Below are 20,506 nucleotides of genomic sequence, written 5' to 3'. Positions count from 1 at the left end.
AGTTGTGTAGCCAGGACTTAATGCACCATTAGTGTCTCTGTCATAAAACTATTTTAAGATATTTTAAATGAAATACTATTATTTGTGATTGTCAAGGAACATTTCTCTTCTCCCTCCTTGTTCCCAGGGCTACATTTGGAATTTTGCCTAAGTATGTATCCCTTGTTTGGCCATCTCTAGTACATTATAAGTAATTGGTTGAGTGCTAATGAAAAACCAAGTGTGCTTTGTCTTAATAAAATATAGCTGAGATTTGCACATAGTGAAGCAATGCATTATATAATGTACCATTTTAAGAGAACTGAATGGCCTTGATATGTGAAAGGTTATGCTGTAGTGATCATTAATCAAGAAATTTTCAAAGGATACTTAGGAAATAAATGAATAATCATAATTAAGTTAAATGAAATTTTAAGAAATGCCAAACAAAGCAAACTCATTTAGAATGACCTTTCCTGTCTTAAAAGGAGGTATTTATTATAAGACTAATGTTCATCTGCAGAGTAAAGGATGCCAATAACACGCAAGTTACCTCTTTCTTACATACAGCTGTAGATACAGGAGAAATAGCAAACTATATTTGATTTACATTGCTTCTAGTTTAGGTGGATTTTAATAGAATTTTTACCAAAAGTTTCATTTTTTGTTTGTATGTGTCCTTTCTTACATGTGGAATGCCCATTTCAAATGCTGCTGAATGGTTATTGAACCGATGTTTAGAATCTGGTCCCTAATGGTGCCTTTTTACTTCTGTACATCAGAACTCCAGCAGGAAAGAATTTCCCTTTACCAGTCTGTAAACCAAATTCTACCACCTTGAACCTTGTAGACTCTGGTCAACTTTTGGTTAAGTCTCTGCACCTAATACTGCACAGTTTCTAAACACACACACACACACACACACACACACACACTCCCAAGAGTTTCATGTTTGACAAACTCAACCAGAAACATGTGGCTCAAGGTAACAGAGGGAACATATAGGTTTACTTTTTCTCACAGAATGCTATTGGAATGACAAAGTAAATGATACAGACAGGATAAATCTGTTACAACTTTGAGAAAGAAATAATCTCTGGACAGAGATTTGGATACATTTTTGGAAGATAGAAGGGAGCTATAGTTACATTGATGGATAAACCAGGACAGAGGAACACATGACCCAGAAAACACACCCAAAAAATGCACGCTTTTTTTTTTTTTTTTTTTTTTTTAAGTAACAAGCTCCTGAGAAGGTTGGCATTGTCTACCAATGTCTTTCTACCTGAGACTCCTAAACCAGAGAGGGAAGCCACGGAGACAGAGCAGGAGTGAGTTGCCAGATAGTTGTTCAGGTTATTAATTAAGGAATTGTCCATGGAAACCTTTGCCCAGTAAACAGGAAAATAAAAAGAATTTCCAGAAGGCACTCAGGTACAGTAGATGTAGAGAATAACCGGACCACATTATTCATCACCTCCCAGGTTCCAGGCACTACTCCCCGTGCTAGAACTATAGCAGCAAATACCTCAGTCTCTCCTCTCATAGAATGTATATTCTCCTGGGAGAGGCCAACAATAAATAACCCAAAATAAACATATATGTATACTGATAAGGATCAAGAAGAAAAATAAAGCAGACAGCAAGGATAGAGTGGTGTGGTGCTATTTTAGACAGGGGGGCCAGGGAGGACCTCTCTGAGGTCATGACATCTGAGCAAAGGCCTAATGTAAGTGAAAACAATGAGTCATGTGAAGATCTGCAGTTGGCCCAACAGTCCAGATGAGGGAGGTTGCAGGTTTGAGGCATATCAAGGAAGCCATGTGGCTAGAGCCACATAGTAAATGTGGGATGGAGTTGGAGAGAGATCCAGGGCCAGATCCTGTAAGATTTTAAAGTCTAGGGCCTACAAGGCTACACTTTCCTATGTGTGACAGGAAGGTATCGGAGGCTATGAGCAGTGAACACTCATAATCTCACTTATCTGTAAGCATCAGTCTTTATTTGGAAAACTAGCTATAGGCAGAAAAGGAAAAGATGCATGGGACCAGTGGGAAGGTTATTGCAGGAGTTGAGGTCAAACAAGACGGCGACTCGGGCCAAAGTGGTGTGATGGTGCTCATGGGAAAGTGTTGAATCTGAGATACATTTTGAAGGTAGAGTTGATCAAATTTGCTACTAAGTTAGTTGGGTGGGTTGCAGGATATGAATCAAGGATAATTCACATTAGAATGAGAGATCATAAGTCTCCAAGAAACATATCCTGGTCATGTAGTTCAAGTATCTGAATCCAGTCATGCCTCAAGCCTCAAGACGAGGCTTCTATAAAGGTTCTGATTTTGCTTAAACCCCTTTGAAACAGATTGAAAAATTTTAAGAACCTGTGGACAATGTCAAAGTATTCAGAAATACCCAACTGATACAAGTAATGCCACGACCTCTAATTTTGCAAAAGCTATGGCTCTCTAATGAAATTTTGTTGTTTTACTGGCCAACAGTGTTTTCTTTTTTTCTCTATCTATGAAAGAGTGGCTGGTAACACTGTTGAATAAAAGCTCAGTCAGGATAAATTATTATCCAGTGCTGGGGGAATGTTCTTTCCTGCTTCCCTCATTCAGGCCTTGCTTATCTAAAGAATTGAACAACTTGGACCATAATGGTAACATGCTTTTCAAAGATGAACAAGCTCAGCGGAGAAATCCTGGGGTTGTTACTACATCACTTCAACCAGTCTCCATATCAAGTGGGATTCATCTCGTGGCAGTGAATCAAGGATGATTGGCCATGAGCTTTTAGATAGCTCTGATTTTCTACCTTGTATCTTTTTTGTCCATACCTCTGATTCCAAGTATAGGTGGGTAGACAGTTCCATGTGGGCTGGGACTTTTTTCATGTCACTATATTTTGCAACGCTAGGATACCAGTGGAGACTTGGTGGCAACCTTCAACCTTGGAGGATGGAAACTAATGGATAAATGCTGTTGCCACCTCCCTGGGGCAGACAATTCTGGTTGGCATTCTGTATGTTTCCTTGGAGGTCCTGGTGGAATTACCCCTGTTGCTCAGAGCAGTGAGGATAGTAATGTACCTTAATACTGGCTTTTCCTCCTTCCCAATTTCACTTTCCTGCACTCACCACTGCTTCCTGGAATCATCTCTCAAGGAAGCGTACACAGTCCTTGTCTCATTCCCTGCTTCAGAGAACAAAGCCAGCTTCTTTTCATTTACCCAGCCACACTGATCATGGTAAAAACATCAGTTCAGAAATAAAGGTTCTGATTTTCTTCATCACCAGTGTTTCACTTTGCTGCAAATAAATTCTCCTACATCTATTCACTACATTTTTTTTCTTCATACACTTGTCATTGTGGGCTCAGAGAAAGCAATTAGGCTTATGACACTACTAATGTTGAATGCATTTAACTCCAGACTTGAATGTCTTCTTATTGACAGTTTATTGGCTGTGATGGTCCCTTATTTCAAACCCGTTGGGCTTGTATATCTGCAGAGAATTTCAAATGCACAAATTTGAGTGAATTGGGAAGTATTTCACTTCATAAAGTCTGATGCCACCAACTTAAGAAATTGAGATCTTATGGAGGTAAAGAGTAGAATGATAGGTACCAGAGGCTGGGAAGGTTGGGCAGGGAGGGGGCAATGAAGAGAGATTGGTTAATTGGTAAAAACATACAGTTAGATAGAAGGGACAAATTCTAGTGTTCAACAGCAGAGTAGAGTGACTAGCGTTAACAAAAGCATACTGTATATTTCAAAACAGCTAGGAGAGAGGGATTGAGATGTTCCCAACACATAGATATGATAAATACTTGAGGTGATGGATACCCTAAGTACCCTGATTTGATCATTACACACTCTCTGCAAGGAACAAAACATCACATGTGCCCCACAAATATGTATAAATATTACATATCAATTAAAAAAAGAAAAAAAAGAATTTGCCATCCAGCTCTAATAACTCACAGTTGTGAGGTACTTAAAAATATATATATATATATATATATATAACATTATTTCATACATTTGGCAAATTGTGAAATAAACATAAAAAATTTACTCTCATTTTAGAGACTGTCAAACTATTAGTTTGGTGCAAAAGTAATTGCAGTTTTTGCAATTGAAGGTAATGGCAAAAACCGCAATTACTTTTGCACCAACCTAATAGACGTCAGAGTGGTTAAGACAGATAATTTGACAGAAGGGACCTTAAGTCTAGCCACCAGGGCTGGCAAAATTGCTAAAAACCACAAAATCAGGGAAAGGAGTGAAGGCTGAGCAATCTCGTGAAGTTAAAAGATACACAGATGTAGAAGAAACTTTTCACTCACTGTTTCACTCAGCAGGTGTTTGTTGAGCACCTTCAATATGCCAGGTAATGTAAAATGGACTCTAGATACAAGGACTGTGAGGAATTGCCTGCTGTGGTGGCTCACACGTGTAATCTCAGCACTTTGGGAGGCTGAGGGAGGCGGATAACTTGAGGTCAGGAGTTTGAGACCAGACTGGCCAACATGGTGAAACCCCATCTCTACTAAAAATACAAAAATTAGCTGGGCATGGTGGTGGGCACCTATAATCCCAGCTACTTGGGAGGCTGAGGCAGGAGAATCACTTGAACCCAGGGGGGCAGAGTTTGCAGTGAGCTGAGATTGCACTGCACCACTGCACTCCAGCCTGAGTGATAGAGCGAAACTCCGTCTCAAAAACAAAACAAAACGAAACAAACAAAGAAACAAACAAAAACAAGGATTGTGAGGAGTAAGTTGCTAAGAAAAGTTGGAGGAGACAAGAAGGCAATTTTTAGGAGGACGATATTAGAACAATTCCAGACCCAAAGCAGGGAGTTTCTAACTAAAATTATCATTGTTATTGGGGAACAAGTGATGTGCACCAATAGAGAAATGCTTTTCAAACTGACCCATTAAATCAATGGGGCCATAATTTTTAAGCCTGCCAGTCAGTTAAATGTATTAATTAGATAGTATCATCAACATCTGGTATTGAGGTAGATTTAGAATTGGCAGACTCAGAAAAACAAATGGAATTAAATTTTTCCTTGAACAAAGTGGTTGTTTGACTGATTTGGAAAGCTTATTTTAGAACATTTCAGGATTACAGGAACTATTAGAGTCACAATTCCAGATCAGCAACTCTGTGACCCCTAATGCAGCTGATTAACTTCATTGTAGTTCATCGGAAGAAATAAAGACTAATGATTTGATCTTCTTTAGGGGTTTCATGAGTCACCTAAAGCCTATTAATTCTTTCATAAATATAGCTTTAGACATTCTGGGTCTTAGAAAGGGAAAGGTAAAAGACCATCTCTTGGTTTTATCAGCTAGTGTTTATCTACAATAGTGTTTACCTGATATTTACTTTAAAAAACAAGGAAAACACTATTGTTACTCCCTGTCACCTGTCTCTGAAGGAACTGAATTCGAAGGTATTGTAGCTCTTTTAAGCCCAGGTTAAAAATTCGTATCATGTTTCACATCGTCAAGGCTTCCCAGGTCAAGAGCAGCTTGCTGCGAAAAGGTCAATTTTACAATTTTACCCAGCTTTATCCCTACCTGTACTTCACTCCTACATCCTTTAGTAAAAACTGCATTACTTTGAAGTTGAAGGTTGCATTCAGGCAGGCAGAGCAGCTTTACTCCCACCCTGAGTTGGAGCAGATAATGGATTCCGCAGAACAGGTGTCCAACTGGCCAAGGTCATCGCACAATGAGTCAGTGTAAATATCCAAATTGCAGTTGTGGACAAACTCAGCACATGACAGGTGCAGTTGATAAGTGTCCTTTTGTCTAGGTGTCACAGTGGTCTGAGGACACGGAACAAATCAAATGAAAAAGGCTGTGCCTGCTTTAGAAGGTTATGTCTTCACTAATCCTGTAGCAACCAGCAGGCTGGCATTAATCTGTGCAAATCTCTGCTCTGGTGTGTTTGGACGATTTTGTTTTTCAGGAGCTATTTGTTCAGGGGAAAAAATGGAAAGTGGAAAGATGAAGTCAGTTTTCTCGTGATGTTTTCAAGGATGAATACTTGTGAAGGACAAGCACGCAATCTCTTCTTAGAAAAAGTCAATCCAGAGAACCTAGAAGGTCCTTCGGAGTGGCAAATAGAAGATCGCAACTTGAAGGAAAACAAAAGTAAGAAAATCGGAAGACTCAACCCCTGAGAAAGATGAGAAACTATGACTAATATGTTACAAATTCATGGTTCTCAGCACTGCACTTAAGTTTCAACCTCAGATAATGCCTAAAATTCAAAGGCATCAGATATGTGTGAGGTGGGAATGATTGCTCACAGAAAATGGATTTAAGTTTCTAGAATTAAAAAAAAATCTAGTTGATGAGATGAAACAAATTTAGAAAGATACAGGACCAAGGTGCATGTATTAAAACTAGTTTTTAGCACTGCTTATTTTCTAGATGAAAAGGCTAACATAATGTTAAATACTTTGCTCACAGTTAAATCATTGAAAGTAAATGAGTGTAAATTTGTTTATTTATATCCCAATGTAATGGAAGAGTCAGCAAACATTTCTGAAAATGGCCATGTTAAAAAAAAATAACTCTCTTACAGACTTAGAACAGAGTGTACATATCAATATTGGTTCATAGAATTTTGTCCCCACTTCAGAAATGAGAAGGGTGAAGTTAAATGACTTGTTTAATGTTATTTTGTTAGAGTGGAAGAACCCAAATTCAAGGTCAGGTCTTTTGACTGTTAACCCACTTTTCCTGTTACTTTACCACAGTCCTTGTAGCACTCTGAGTAGCAAAACAGGCCTCCAGAAAATGCTGAGTCTAACAAGGCCTACTACATTGTCCTCCTTCCAGGGTCAGCGCAGCGATAGCTGGGTGGGAGTGCTCGGCCTGCCCATTGGCAGTAGGAGCCGTAGCCTTCTCTCTCCCTCAAGGTACAGTTTGCCAACAAATGTATTTTTTGAGCACCTACTACGTGTCAGAAATCATTCTAATTGCTGGGACACAATACAGAGTGACAGATTCCTTGCCCTCAAAGGACTTTTGTATTAGTGGAGGAGACACAATCAGTAAGCATCGAACAACTAAATAAATCATGTCAGGTGTTGGGAGGAAAAGGAAATCGTGACTAGCTCTGGCAACATAAGGTAGGGACAAAGGTCGGCTGGGTTTTTCAGCTAGGCTGGTTGGTGGGTTCATTAAGCCACTGATCTCAGTGCCTGTGTGGCACTTGAGGGATGAGGCTGTATGGCGAGTGAAGACTGCCACAATACTGCTAAAGCAGTAACGACGATACCCCAAACAGTAGCTTGAATACTGGAAATGGCAAATAATGAAATAGCCCATGAAACAATATTGCCAACACACAATTGTGTGAACCAGGTGACCCATCCAGTGTTTAGAGTCTGGGCCAAGAAATGTGGACACACAAAGAAAGTAGGATAAAATCTTCTGGGTGGAAATTGTGTGTGTGTGAGGCTTCCCTAGGAGAGACAGAACTGTGGCAGTGCTGGTACAGGAACACCTCCTAACTCTGAAGTTATTCTGCGTTGTCCTAAAATGGTTGATACATCCACCACTTGACACATAACAAACATTATTATAAACACTTTACACAAATTAACTCATGTATAAAGATTACCTCACAGACGCTGTTGTGCATGTTTGACAAATGAAGAAACTGAGGCACAAACAGCTTAAGTAACTTTCCTGTGATAGGCTGAATAGTGTCCAAAGATGTCCATGTCCTAACCTTTAGAACCTGTGCATTTGTTAACTTATAGAATGAAAAGGCCTTTGCATATGTGATCAAGTTAAGAATTTTTGGATAGAGATATTATCTTGGATTATCTGAGTGGGTCCATTATAGTCACAAAGATTCTTACAAGAATCAGAGAAGGAGATGGAAGCAGAGGCCAGAGTTATGTGATCAGATATTAAGGAGCTTAGGCAGCTTCAAGAAGCTAGAATAAGCAAGGAAATAGATTCTGTCCTAGAACTTCCAGAAGAAATGTCACCTTGACTTTAGCTCAGTGAAACTGATTTCAGACTTCTGGCTTCCAGAATTATAACATAAAAAATTCGTGTTGTTTGTGTTGACTTAAGCCACTACATTTGTGGTAAGTAAAGCAGCGACAAAGAAACTAACACATTGCCCAAGGTTATGATGCTACAAAGTGGCAGGGCCAGGATTAAAACTGAGGCAATCTAGTGCTAGTTCCAGGGATTTAACCACTGTGCTATTTAGGGCCTCTCACAGGCAGAATGAAATTTAACGCTGCAAGCAAAATGGGGGTCTCCTAGGTTTTCCTCTTATGCTGAGAATTCCAGGTCCTGGAGAAGAAGAAAAAGAGAAAGAAAGAGAGAGAGAGAAGGAGTGAGAGAGGGAGGGAGGGAGGGAGGGAGGGAGGAAGGAAGGAAGGAAGGAAGGAAGGAAAGGAAGGAAGGAAGGAAGGAAGGAAGGAAAGGAAGGAAGGAAGGAAGGAAGGAAGGAAGGAAGGAAGGAAGGAAAAGAAACAGCAAAAAAAGAAAGAGGGAGGATGGGAGGGAGGGAAAAAGTAAAAATGATTCTGTATCAGCTGGTATATACCAACACCCTTCCCTGCCCCATGTCTTCACAGCTGTGTGGCAAGTGAAGACTAATGGATCCAGGCTTCCTGATGCTTCTATTTATCATTATTCACTTAGGAAGGGTGGGAAAAGAAATACTAATTACACACTTACCAATGGAATACTTTTACAAGGATCAAAATTTCTCACTGCGGCCATGAAAAAGAATGAGAGCTGGCGGCCATCATGCTTAGCAAAGTAATGCAGGAACAGAAAACCAAATATCACATGTTCTCACTTGCAAGTGGGAGCTAAATAAAGAGATCACCTGGACACTAGGAGGGGAACAACAGACACTGGAACCTACTTGAAGGTGGAGGGTGGGAAGAGGGAGAGAATGAGAAAAAATACCTATTGGATACTATTACCTGGGTGATGAAATAATCTGTACACCAAACCCCCACGACAAGCAATTCACTTATATAACAAACCCGCACATGTACTCCTGAACCTAAAAGTTAAAAGAAAAAAAAATATATACTAAAATGAAAACAATTCTCACTGTAACAATATTATCCCCTCGTAATTATTATATTCCTAAGTTTTAGGCACTTTTACATCCTGCTCGCTGCCCCCAGCTCTCTTAACACAGCATCCAGGACATAGTGGGCGCTTATAAATACTGATGGCATTAAACTGAGCGCTTATGATAGCATATTTAGAGCAGTGCTTTTCAAACGTCTAGGTGCATGTGAATCCCTGGGGACACCGTTAAAATGCAGATTCAGAGTTAGAAAGTCTGGTTGGAGCCTGAGATTGGGCATTTCCACCGAGTTCCCATATGATGCTTGTCTATGTTCTGTATTTTTCAAGGTCTCAGAAAATGAGACCTCCCTATCCATATACAAATATAAGTCACACAAACTGTGATAATTTAATGAAAGTTTACAAAGAGCATAGAAGTAGATGTTTCCTCTTTTCCCCTGCCCTCCCAATAAAGGGAACAAATTAGATGCGAGGGTTCAATGGAAAGAGTTGCAACAGCATCCAGGCGCTCGCTCTCCTCCGGTCTTCCTGAGACAGGGAAAGGGGTAATGAGAGGAAGGAGGAAAGTGTCCAGGAGCTCCCACGCTGCTGTTCTTCCATTTCCAGCTTTTAAAGAGCACCCGCCCCTTCGAACCACCGAGGTCATGGGCGAACACACCGGAGCGCAGCACCGCGCCCCCCCGCACACACCGCCCGCCTCCGCGCCCTTGCCCAGACCGAGGCGGCCGACGCGCCTGCGTGCGCGCTAGGTATAAATAGGTCCCAGGAGGCAGCCACTGGGCAGAACTGGGCTACGGGCGCCGCGGGCCATGGCGGGCGAGAACCACCAGTGGCAGGGCAGCATCCTCTACAACATGCTTATGAGCGCGAAGCAAACGCGCGCGGCTCCTGAGGCTCCAGAGACGCGGCTGGTGGATCAGTGCTGGGGCTGTTCGTGCGGCGATGAGCCCGGGGTGGGCAGAGAGGGGCTGCTGGGCGGGCGGAACGTGGCGCTCCTGTACCGCTGCTGCTTTTGCGGTAAAGACCACCCACGGCAGGGCAGCATCCTCTACAGCATGCTGACGAGCGCAAAGCAAACGTACGCGGCACCGAAGGCGCCCGAGGCGACGCTGGGTCCGTGCTGGGGCTGTTCGTGCGGCTCTGATCCCGGGGTGGGCAGAGCGGGGCTTCCGGGTGGGCGGCCCGTGGCACTCCTGTACCGCTGCTGCTTTTGTGGTGAAGACCACCCGCGGCAGGGCAGCATCCTCTACAGCTTGCTCACTAGCTCAAAGCAAACGCACGTGGCTCCGGCAGCGCCCGAGGCACGGCCAGGGGGCGCGTGGTGGGACCGCTCCTACTTCGCGCAGAGGCCAGGGGGTAAAGAGGCGCTACCAGGCGGGCGGGCCACGGCGCTTCTGTACCGCTGCTGCTTTTGCGGTGAAGACCACCCGCAGCAGGGCAGCACCCTCTACTGCGTGCCCACGAGCACAAATCAAGCGCAGGCGGCTCCGGAGGAGCGGCCGAGGGCCCCCTGGTGGGACACCTCCTCTGGTGCGCTGCGGCCGGTGGCGCTCAAGAGTCCACAGGTGGTCTGCGAGGCAGCCTCAGCGGGCCTGTTGAAGACGCTGCGCTTCGTCAAGTACTTGCCCTGCTTCCAGGTGCTGCCCCTGGACCAGCAGCTGGTGCTGGTGCGCAACTGCTGGGCGTCCCTGCTCATGCTTGAGCTGGCCCAGGACCGCTTGCAGTTCGAGACTGTGGAAGTCTCGGAGCCCAGCATGCTGCAGAAGATCCTCACCACCAGGCGGCGGGAGACCGGGGGCAACGAGCCACTGCCCGTGCCCACGCTGCAGCACCATTTGGCACCGCCGGCGGAGGCCAGGAAGGTGCCCTCCGCCTCCCAGGTCCAAGCCATCAAGTGCTTTCTTTCCAAATGCTGGAGTCTGAACATCAGTACCAAGGAGTACGCCTACCTCAAGGGGACCGTGCTCTTTAACCCGGGTAAGGGTACTGGCCTTAGGCGCCGGCTTTTCCCAGCTCACAAAAGCATCGGGCAGTGCCTATCTAGGGGCGCGGGCAGTAACGAGTTTTCAGTGATCAGGAGAGTGTCGGGGCAAAGGTGAAGAAATCGTGACTAACTCAGCAGAGTTGGGGTGGGGAGCTCCAGGAACCACTTCTGCTGGGTGGGCTGCTATCAGAAACTCAGCCAAGAGGAGGGGAGTTGTTTGTTTAGGTTTGTACTTGGCTCTCTACACATTTCTTACCATAGAAAAGTTTGTGCCTTCATGGGAAATGGTTATTCTTTCTTCTTTAGCTTTCTTTTAAGTCCAGAGCATATCTTTTTCTAAAAAAAGTTTTTGCTCACTGAAGATTCTGCAACATCGATTTCTGAAACCCCATTCTGAAATTTACTAGAACCTTTTTTGGGGGGAGGAAATCTATTAAGGCTAGCAAAAAAGGAAACATTTGTTAAAGGGTCCCATAGAGAGACTATTCCCTAGGGACACACAAGACACTAGATGTAGTGTTTCATGGGCCTGCCTCTGAATGGTTATTTGTATGGTCCTAAGCATCTGGACTATCCCTTCCTCCAAATCTCTGTGAATAATATCAGGTTGGCAAAGGGATAGGGAAAAAAGACACATTAGGGACTGAGAGCAGGAGCACTGTATTTTAGAATTCAAAGAGACTTTAGAGACCTGCTAATCAACCCCCTTTGCTCTGTAGCCTCCCCCCACCCCATTTTACTGAGTAGGTAGATGTGTCCCAAGGTCCCAAGTAAATGGTTGGTGTGTTGTGGCACCTGAGGGTCCTGTCTTCTGGGCCCAGTGGGATATTGGCTGCACTAAACTTTCAGGTTGTCTGTTGGGTGCTGGACACACTGTCCCACAGAGTGCAACCAAATCACTGGAGGAACGTCTCCCTGGACAGCCAGGCACCTTGTCTTGGGTGTTTCTCACTATTAGAATCATCTTCAACCAGCGTCCTTTCAAAATGATTGAAGTGGGAACAAAATTTTCCAGGCAACTTGAGTTGGGATAGTTTTTATAATGCTCCTTTTGTATCTTTTTTCCCTGGTGCTGGAATCTCTGATTAAGTCCCTGCCCCCTGCCTAGCATTTTTGAGGGTGCATAGATCAGTATTTGGTGGGATAATAATTTGTTCAAACCTCACGTTTCATGACGTAGAGACCTCAGCTCACCCCAGTGTCTATTATATGTTACCTTTTTGCTTATACCATTGTTTTCCAAACTTGCCTGTGCATAAGAAGTACTTGTGTGTGTGTGGTTGGGGGTGGGAGGGAGTAGATAAAAGTCTTTCTAGGCTCCTGCCTTATATATTCTGATTCAGTAGCTCTGGCCCAGGGTCTGCAAATCTGCATTCATAATAAGTGTCGCAGATGATTCTTAAGATTATTTGGAAAACAGTCTTCTTATTCCTTCAGCCAGTGTTACTAATCATCCACTATGTTCCTCGTCCTGTTGGGATATAAAGGTGAGAGGGGCTCAGCTTCCAGAAATTTACATTCCATTAGTTTCAGTATCAACAGTTTCCCTTGACTCTGTTTTATATACTTTTAACACACACACACACACACACACACACACACACACACACATTCTTCCTTATTCTTGATTGACTTTTCCTAATCCTCTCTCAATATGAGTTTAACCAGCTAAGCTGAGTGTGTTTGAAACACAAATGTACCTATATTTGGGAGAAAGGTAATGCCTATTAAGAGTGTGGCCTCTCTTTGCTGTTTATCCTTTGTATGTCCCATATATAAATTTAAATACATTATATATATAGGTTCAAACTTAAGGAGATATAAAACTGTGGAGTCCATTTGCATTTTCTCTTCCCTGACCTTATTTTGAAGGCCAGTTTGTGTGTCTCTGTGTGGGGGGGAACCACTTGGGTGGGGAGAAGGTGGAGGGGTATATTGTGAACACAGAGAAAAGTAATGTGGCATACACAAGATGAAGTTTTCACAAGCCATGAATCTAGACCTAGAGAAGCTTCAGATTTCTGGTGGAGTTTCATGCAAGCCTCTTCCTACTTTCATCGATGGAATTCAAACACAACAAAATTGGGTCTTAAGCCTGGATCTCAAGCTGTAGATAGAAGGGGATGATAATGTGTGGACTAGAGTAATCAGAACTGGAATATGGATTAAAATGGTTGCTTTATTTTTGTTCTTATTTATGAGATTTGATATTCGCCCATAATAGGAGTGCCTCTCGCTTATTACCATTATTATTTTTTTAAAGAACACTGGTTCTGCTGCTCTGTGATGATTGGCATGGTGCTTTTAAAATACTTTTCTGTTGAATTTTTTAGGAAAAGGGAAGGAAAATGATTGCAATCATCATTAACATCATTTAAACCAAGTGGTCAACTGCTAATTACTTGAATACAAGTTAAAGAACTTTGCAACGATATTATCATCATGGAAGATCAAAGGACCTTCAAAAGCAGCCTCCTCTTATTACTTTCCTTATAAAAACTTACATCCACTTAAACTTTCCTGCATTTATTTCTTTCACTTTTACTTCGGTATCACACTATACTGCAAAAGGTCATGTGTTTTCTATTACAAAAGTTATTCTTGAATCATGGTACAATTCGTGATGTTTTCATGTTTACTTTTTAAACTTTTAATGACTATAAGAATTTTCAAAAACTTCTTACTTTAATATTTTTGAAAAGAGCCTTTTTGAACACTCATTAGAATCATTCTTTTATTTTTTTCAAAATCTTCCCCAATACAGAAATCATGGTGCAATGAGCTAAGTGGCCAGTGTTAGCTTTCAAATTATTCGGGCCTCTAGACTAATATTGGCCTGCAGGCAAATAGGTAAAATGAAACTGTGCGTCAAAGTTTGTGGCTGTGAAGTTTACCACCATTGGCTGAACGATCAGTGTAATGATGGAAAGTTCAAAGAAGAATGGTAAAAACATTTGTCTCATGGCAACACTTCTTGTTTATCATGGCTTGTTTCTCATAGGTAAAGTGCCCACCTCTTGAAATATCATGAACTTCTTCATATTTGCATAGAAAGTGAACTGGAGTGATGATTCATTAAACCGTATTCTACTGTCATATTAAATTGTGTGCGTTTGTTGGCTCATGGCCAGTGTATTTGCAAACGTGTGCATAGAAACATAGTAAATATTAAGTAAGATCACATGATGTTTCATTCTTGGACACGTTGCTTCTGAAAACGTAGACTGGTTTGGCCTTTTACCCTTTTAACCGGGAAGCTTTGGGTCTTGTTTAATTGGGATGAAACAGAAATGGCTATTTTTAAAAAGCTAGCAAAGGACTCTGTGGTGAGCTGTTTTATAACAAAGAGATTTTTCTCCCTCCAGACGTGCCGGGCCTGCAGTGCGTGAAGTACATTCAGGGACTCCAGTGGGGAACTCAGCAAATACTCAGTGAACACACCAGGATGACGCACCAAGGGCCCCATGACAGATTCATCGAACTTAATAGTACCCTTTTCCTGCTGAGATTCATCAATGCCAATGTCATTGCTGAACTGTTCTTCAGGCCCATCATCGGCACAGTCAGCATGGATGATATGATGCTGGAAATGCTCTGTACAAAGATATAAAGTCATGTGGGCCACACAAGTGCAGTAGTGCAGTTCACCATGAGGGAAGAATAAAGAGCTGTGGGCAAAAGAGTGTAAAATATTTTAAAATAAACTTTCTTAATATTTTTACATGCAGAGTATTTTTGTATTCAATTAAAGAAATAATTTTATTCCAGACAGTCACAAATTTCTCTGTTCCATAGTTAAAGAAGACATTTGCCAACAGGTAGCATAGCTCTGTACATCTTTTAAAAAAAAAATAGCAGGGTACTAGTATAATAAGCTATTTTCACAAGTGTAGCAATTTCATGGAACCTGCTCAAATCAAATTTGTACATATTGTTATAATAAATTTTAAGGTCTTAACTATTAACTTGATTGAAAAAAGCTTCAGCAGGGTTTAAGTAAGGCCTCAAAAACTATTAAAACCTAGCCAACATAAGCAAAAAGTATCTTTGGAAGTAACAACATGACATTGAATGTAATTATGTGCCAGTATCAGTGGGAGGTCACTTTGCTCTATCTTCATTTCCACTTCCCTCAGCTGTATGGAAGACTGCGTTTGCATCCAACTGGAGTCAAGAAGCAATCTGTAATTATAAAGACATGCAGAAGTGAAAGAGGAGATTTTCTGTTTTATTGGGGGATCTTTTTGGTACACAGTTATGGATTTAAAGATCCACAAGGAACATACATTCTATAATGAGGGGTTATAGTTCCAGAAAGCTCAACATCATTATAAAACCACTAATTACACTTCATCTTTTAGATACATTACGTTTGTAACTGGTATATTGAACAACATGGCATGAAATCATAAAGCAACTTTATTGTTATCTCCTGCTGCCCCTTTAATTATAATCCATAGAACTAATTTTTCTTTGTGTCCAGATAAAATCAAGGCTACTATATGTCTATTTGTTTATGGGCAATAAATTGCCTGTTATTAATGAGTGTATCTAGTCTAGGGTAATAACCCATTGCAGGAAGTCTTAAACTTTCTTTCGTGCAGATCCCTTTGGCAGTCTATTGAATCCTATGGACATTTTCTCAAAATCAGGCTCTCAGAGGAATGCAGTAGGGCGGAAGCAAGCGTCATGATAGTCACAGCACACACACACACACACACACACAATCCCCGAGGGCTCATGTGGTCCCCTAGAAACAAAGAGTTAAAAATGTTAGGGCACCCCAGCAGGATATGCATTGGTTAGGCAGCCCCCAGTGCGGCCTCCCACCGAGGTGCCTCCTTCCCCAAGGTATTCAGTCCAGTGAAAGTAATTCAGTTCAGCCCCTGGTTTTAGAGGGGCTGCCTGGGGCTGTCAGTCTCAAATAGTCTGTCAGTGACACTACTTCATCTGCCTGGTGAGTGTAGATGGCATCTGGACATGTTCTGCGGGGACATGCAGTAGAAGCTGGCCCTCTGCTGCCAGCTCATAGTCACGCTGTCACGTGCCATCTAGGCTCAGCCCTTGGTCTGAGTCCAAAGCGCCTGCAGCACTTGCAAAAGCAGCACAAGAGTTTTCTTCGAAAAGAGGGGAAAGCTTCCAGAAGCAGTTCCAAAAAGCAAAAATCATTAATGCCCTACTTCCTCCCCGAGCCTTCCCAGGTGTCAGGGTTGTTTTTCTTGACTGTTACAAAATCAATGTGCCCCATTCAATAATCCTAACTTCATGTAATTTTTCCTAATCACTTCTCTTTTCACCTAGACCTTCTGGAAGGATTGTGTGTAAGAGGGACAGAGGCATTTTCACAGAGTAACGTTTTAATACAACTTAACCAGAAAGACACAGGAACTGGTCAGGGCAAAATCCTGATTTTCAATATTTTTTCAAAATGGGTTTACGTACCCCCCGCCCCAAGCCTTTTTCCATGATCATTTATTTAGTGAACACCTAGCAAAAATCAGTCCTTTTCTGAGGACAGCTGCATTGGATGATCAAACTGCCTTACCAAGTTGTGTACAACAGGAGAAAGGCAAGGGAAGTAAAGTCAGGCTATCGGTCCACTGTTGCAAACTGCAACTAACCTGGAAAGTGGAACACAAGTCAACAGCCTTGAGACATCCCTGAGAGTCTGATCTATCAGGGGTGGGCAGAGGGGTCACATACCCTGTGGTGTGCCCTTCCCTAAATTGCAGCCTTTGGCTAGAATCAAAAGTTAGGAATGCAATCAGGCTCTTGTATCCCGTATCAGAAATATCGAGTCCATCAGCAGCTCCATTTCTAATGGTCCCATCAGAGAACAAGCCTTTTTCTCTAGGGCATCTGCAGGTGACCCAGATGGTCAGCTAGCATCCATGATGTTTTATAGCTGTGACCCCACAGGGATGTCTTAAATTTGTGGCAGTTCCAGAGACTGAGTTCTGTTCGTTGAGCCTGTGCCGACTTGCAGTTCAGCACAGCTCAGTGCTGAAATTGAAATAGCCTGTAGCCGGCAGTATCAGGTTTCATTCAGGTCCAGGGAATTAGGATCTGTGAATTCAGTATTCAAAAAAGTTAGAGGCTTTTCTTCAGCAGCGGCAGCAAAGCTAAGACGCTGTAGGCCAGATACCTGTGTTTCAAGTCCAAGTAACAGGCAAGGCTGTTCCTAAGGACTTTTTTACCCTGTTAGGCCAGATTGTTCAAATTGACCCTTGCAAAAATATGCATGTCAGGCTAGAAAATCATCAGCCTCTAAGGGTCAGAAATCTGATTTCACAAGAGCTTATTGGCAAAAACAAACAAAACCGCACAACTCCCTAACCCCCGAAACCTGCTTTGAAAACCCCAGAAGTGTGTCTTCATTTGGAGATTGGCTCCCTTTTCCAGAGTCTCCAGTAGGCAAAATTATGGCAAAAAAAAAAAAATCATCCATTACTGAGCCTTGTTTCCAATACCAAGAGTATAAATTCCAATCCACCCGCCTGTGGCAAAAAAGCAAGGGAGCTGTGTTTCATTAACACTTTTTCTTTGCAGCTTTTCCTGATTGAGATGACCCTTCTAGCATTTATGAAATTATAGGCACATAACATTGCACATCAGTTTTCATCATACATCCACATGCAATAGCCACAAATGCAAAGCTGTGAATTAAAATTCCTGTTTTTTTCTCATTACAAGTTTACTAAAATCCCTAGCAGTAAATTTTCCATTTACAGGGTTCACATCACAGCTGCCAGGAGAACCCAGCTGGGATGGAAGAGAAAGGGAGGGGAGCAGCAGCAGCTAGGCTGAAGAAATAGCTACAGTGGGTTTCCCTCCCTCCCTCCCTCCCTTCCTCCCTCCCTCCCTCCCTCCCTTCCTCCCTCCCTCCCTCCCTCCCTCCCTCCCTTCTTCCTTTTCTCCCTCCTTTCCTCCCTTCCTCCCTTTCTCCCTTTCTTTTCTTTCTTTCTTCTTTCTCTTTCTTTCTTTTTTCTTTCTTTCCTTCTTTCTTTCTTTTTCTTTCTTTCTTCCCGTCCTTCCTTCCTTCCTTTCTCTCTCTCTCTTTTCTTCTTTCCTTCCTTCTTTCCTTCCTTCCTTCCCTCCCTCCCTCTTTCTTTCTTTCCTTACTTCCTCTCTCCCTCCTTCCTTCCTTTCTTTCTTTCTCTCTTTCTCTCTTTCTCTCTCTCTCTCTCCCCTCTGCTTTATCTAAATCCTTGCTCCAGCCCTGGAAACAGACTTAATTCTTTTTTTTCTCTCTACTTGGAGGAAAGAACAACTACAAACTATATTTTATGATATTTGGCACATCCAAAGCCCATTGTGCAGAATGTTTGGGCCCTTTCTCCTCCTGCGAGGGTGTTAGGGAGGCGGAGAGACTACAAAAAATAAAGCTATCATTGCCTAGGCTATGCTACTATTTCCTACCCTCCCCCACCCCCCTTACTTCAGCAGAGCCAACTCTGTATGATCAAAAGCACCTAGGGTATCCAGAGAGCCAACTCTCCCGGGATGAATCTATTATTTCCGATTTCCATAGGTAACTTTTTACCTCTGATCACAGACAGCTGCTCAGCTGCTGTTTCGTATTATGGTTAATGCCATAGCCACTCAGGTACCAGGGTTTCATAATTCCCTGCCCCTCTCTCTTTCTTTTCCCCACATAATGCTGTAGCTACATTTCAGTGAATTGCGGTCATTCTAGCAAATCCCACCACTGCCACCATTGTGTCGTTGTTCCCAAGACCACCCTCTCATTCAGATATTTGCTAAAAGGTCTCACAGCACTCCACAGGTACTTGTACTCACAGTTGTACATTACTGCGATATAGTAAGGGTATATGGCTGGGTCATACAGAGAAGAGACACTGGTGGAGAAATCCATATGCAGGCCACTTTATGGTCTCTTCTTCCCATGAGGGGTCACACAGGATATACTTTTTTCCCAGCAATAAAAACTCAGCAACATGTGTGTGATTATTTCTGCTCAGGGAAACCCTTTTTAGATTCCATGCTTAGGGCTTTTATTGAGAGCTGGTCACATAGGTACCCTCCACCTAGCATGTTCCGAAATTCCAAACACACAAAAAGGAAGTACGTGCTCAGTGTGAGCTATGTTGTTTGCACAAACTGTCCAGGCAGAGTGATTCGCCCCTATGAGTTAGGGAACATTGAGAACACTCTCAGAATTGAAGTTCCCAGATGCCAGCCAAAAACTAACCTTCCGAGCAGGCCATTCTAAGGATAGCAGTCTCAGACCTACTATGTTAACTCTTTCCTGCGCAGGTACTGCCAATACTACTGTGTTGTGTTACCTACATTCATAATGTAAAAATGTCCTCTCCCGTTTCAACTTCGAATCATTTTATTCACTTGATGAGGGATTAAGAGTCATGCAAACATGATGGTTCTTGCATCATTTTCATCTTGCACTTAGACGATGTATGTGAAATACAGCCACTAAAATGAAGGTGAGTGAGATAGTGCTCTGAAGCCATTTAAACATTCTTTAAAATTGTACACTTAGGCATTGTCACAATCAGTCAATAAGTTGCGTGTATGAGCGAAAGACACCACCAGTTAGTCTTTTCAAGTAATAATATCTGAGAGTTGACCATATGTTTGCCTATGTAGTTATATAGACTTCTTACTGATCAATAGTGCTGAATTAGACTTGTTTTTTCCATTATAGTCATAGTCAATGGACCTCTGTATGAATAAACAGTGATGTCCAACCATGAACCTGATGTTTTAGGTCAGAAAGTTTCCTCCATGAAAACATATGTTCAGTTTTGGAGTGGAAGACTTATATGGTCTGGCTCTGTGTTCCCACCCAAATCTCATCTTGAATTATAACTAGAATTGTAATCCCCACGTGTTGGGGGAGGGACCTCGTGGGAGGTGATTGAATCATGGGGGTTGTCCCCCCATGCTGTTCTTGTGAGTAAGAGTTCTCATGAGATCCAATGGTTTTAGAAGGGGCTCTTCCGCCTCTCGCTGCAGTTCTCTCTCCTGCTGCCTCGTGAAGAAGGATGTGTTTGCTTCCCCTTCCGCTATGATTGTAAGTTTTCTGAGGCCTCCCCAGCACGCAGAAATGTGAGTCAATTAAACCTCTTTCCTTTATAAATTACCCAGTCTCAGGTATTTCTTTATAGCAATATGAAAACAGACTAATACAAAGACCAAAAGTTCCCACAGATACTTTAAGAATATTTGAAGTGATTAGAAAAAGATGCAGGTGGTCTACAGAAAACAAAATATAAAAATAAGTAGAACAAAATGGAAGGTAGCAACTAGCAGAGGGTGGGGGTTGAAATAAATGGAAAAGGAAACAAATTTGTTGTAATATAAAATAAGTGGCCAGGCGCAGTGGCTCACACCTTAATCCCAACACTTTGGGAGGCTGAGGCAGACGGATCACTTGAGGTCGGGAGTTCGAGACCAGCCTGGC

General features: G+C 42.5%; 1 protein-coding gene across 1 annotated transcript, besides 11 other annotated features; it reads left to right on the top strand.

The window, feature by feature from the left end:
- Positions 5,063 to 6,229: an enhancer, noted in NCBI's record as "-4.1 kb CNE (conserved non-coding element)". NCBI's record gives the evidence for it as "EXISTENCE:reporter gene assay evidence [ECO:0000049][PMID:19773398]".
- Positions 5,063 to 9,889: a biological region, named in NCBI's record as "NR0B1 5' regulatory region". NCBI's record gives its function as "regulatory_interactions: NR0B1".
- Positions 5,529 to 5,733: a conserved region, noted in NCBI's record as "conserved region; human-mouse conserved sequence". NCBI's record gives the evidence for it as "COORDINATES:sequence alignment evidence [ECO:0000200][PMID:11923472]".
- Positions 8,295 to 8,648: a transcriptional cis regulatory region, noted in NCBI's record as "-1595 to -1241". NCBI's record gives its function as "mediates positive regulation of transcription by EWS RNA binding protein 1" and the evidence as "EXISTENCE:reporter gene assay evidence [ECO:0000049][PMID:18591936]".
- Positions 8,307 to 9,889: a promoter, noted in NCBI's record as "-1550 to +30; fragment spanning EcoR1 to translation start site". NCBI's record gives the evidence for it as "EXISTENCE:reporter gene assay evidence [ECO:0000049][PMID:9232190]".
- Positions 8,393 to 8,495: a microsatellite, noted in NCBI's record as "GGAA polymorphic tandem repeat region; repeat number correlates with transcriptional activity".
- Positions 8,812 to 8,832: a protein binding site, noted in NCBI's record as "ARE". NCBI's record gives the evidence for it as "EXISTENCE:protein binding evidence [ECO:0000024][PMID:23846226]".
- Positions 9,570 to 9,889: a promoter, noted in NCBI's record as "-290 to +30". NCBI's record gives its function as "core promoter" and the evidence as "EXISTENCE:reporter gene assay evidence [ECO:0000049][PMID:9232190]".
- Positions 9,711 to 9,728: a protein binding site, noted in NCBI's record as "SF1-RE". NCBI's record gives its function as "positive regulation of transcription" and the evidence as "EXISTENCE:protein binding evidence [ECO:0000024][PMID:7677767]".
- Positions 9,831 to 9,835: a TATA box. NCBI's record gives the evidence for it as "COORDINATES:motif similarity evidence [ECO:0000028][PMID:7677767]".
- Positions 9,863 to 15,047, top strand: NR0B1 (nuclear receptor subfamily 0 group B member 1). Its single transcript, NM_000475.5, has 2 exons — positions 9,863 to 11,057; positions 14,430 to 15,047. Exons 1-2 carry the CDS (start codon positions 9,890 to 9,892, stop codon positions 14,672 to 14,674), a joined length of 1,413 nt encoding a protein of 470 aa, NP_000466.2. The 5' UTR covers positions 9,863 to 9,889; the 3' UTR covers positions 14,675 to 15,047.
- Positions 10,154 to 10,654: an enhancer, noted in NCBI's record as "H3K4me1 hESC enhancer chrX:30326716-30327216 (GRCh37/hg19 assembly coordinates)". NCBI's record gives its function as "activates a minimal SCP1, AML or CMV promoter by ChIP-STARR-seq in naive H9 embryonic stem cells {active_cell/tissue: H9 hESC(naive)}" and the evidence as "EXISTENCE:reporter gene assay evidence [ECO:0000049][PMID:30033119]".

The sequence above is a fragment of the Homo sapiens genome, chromosome X, assembly GCF_000001405.40.
Source record: "Homo sapiens chromosome X, GRCh38.p14 Primary Assembly".
Classification (NCBI taxonomy): Eukaryota; Metazoa; Chordata; class Mammalia; order Primates; family Hominidae; genus Homo; species Homo sapiens.
The sequence above is the reverse complement of the archived record's forward strand: the minus strand, read 5'-3'. Positions and strand labels throughout refer to the sequence as shown.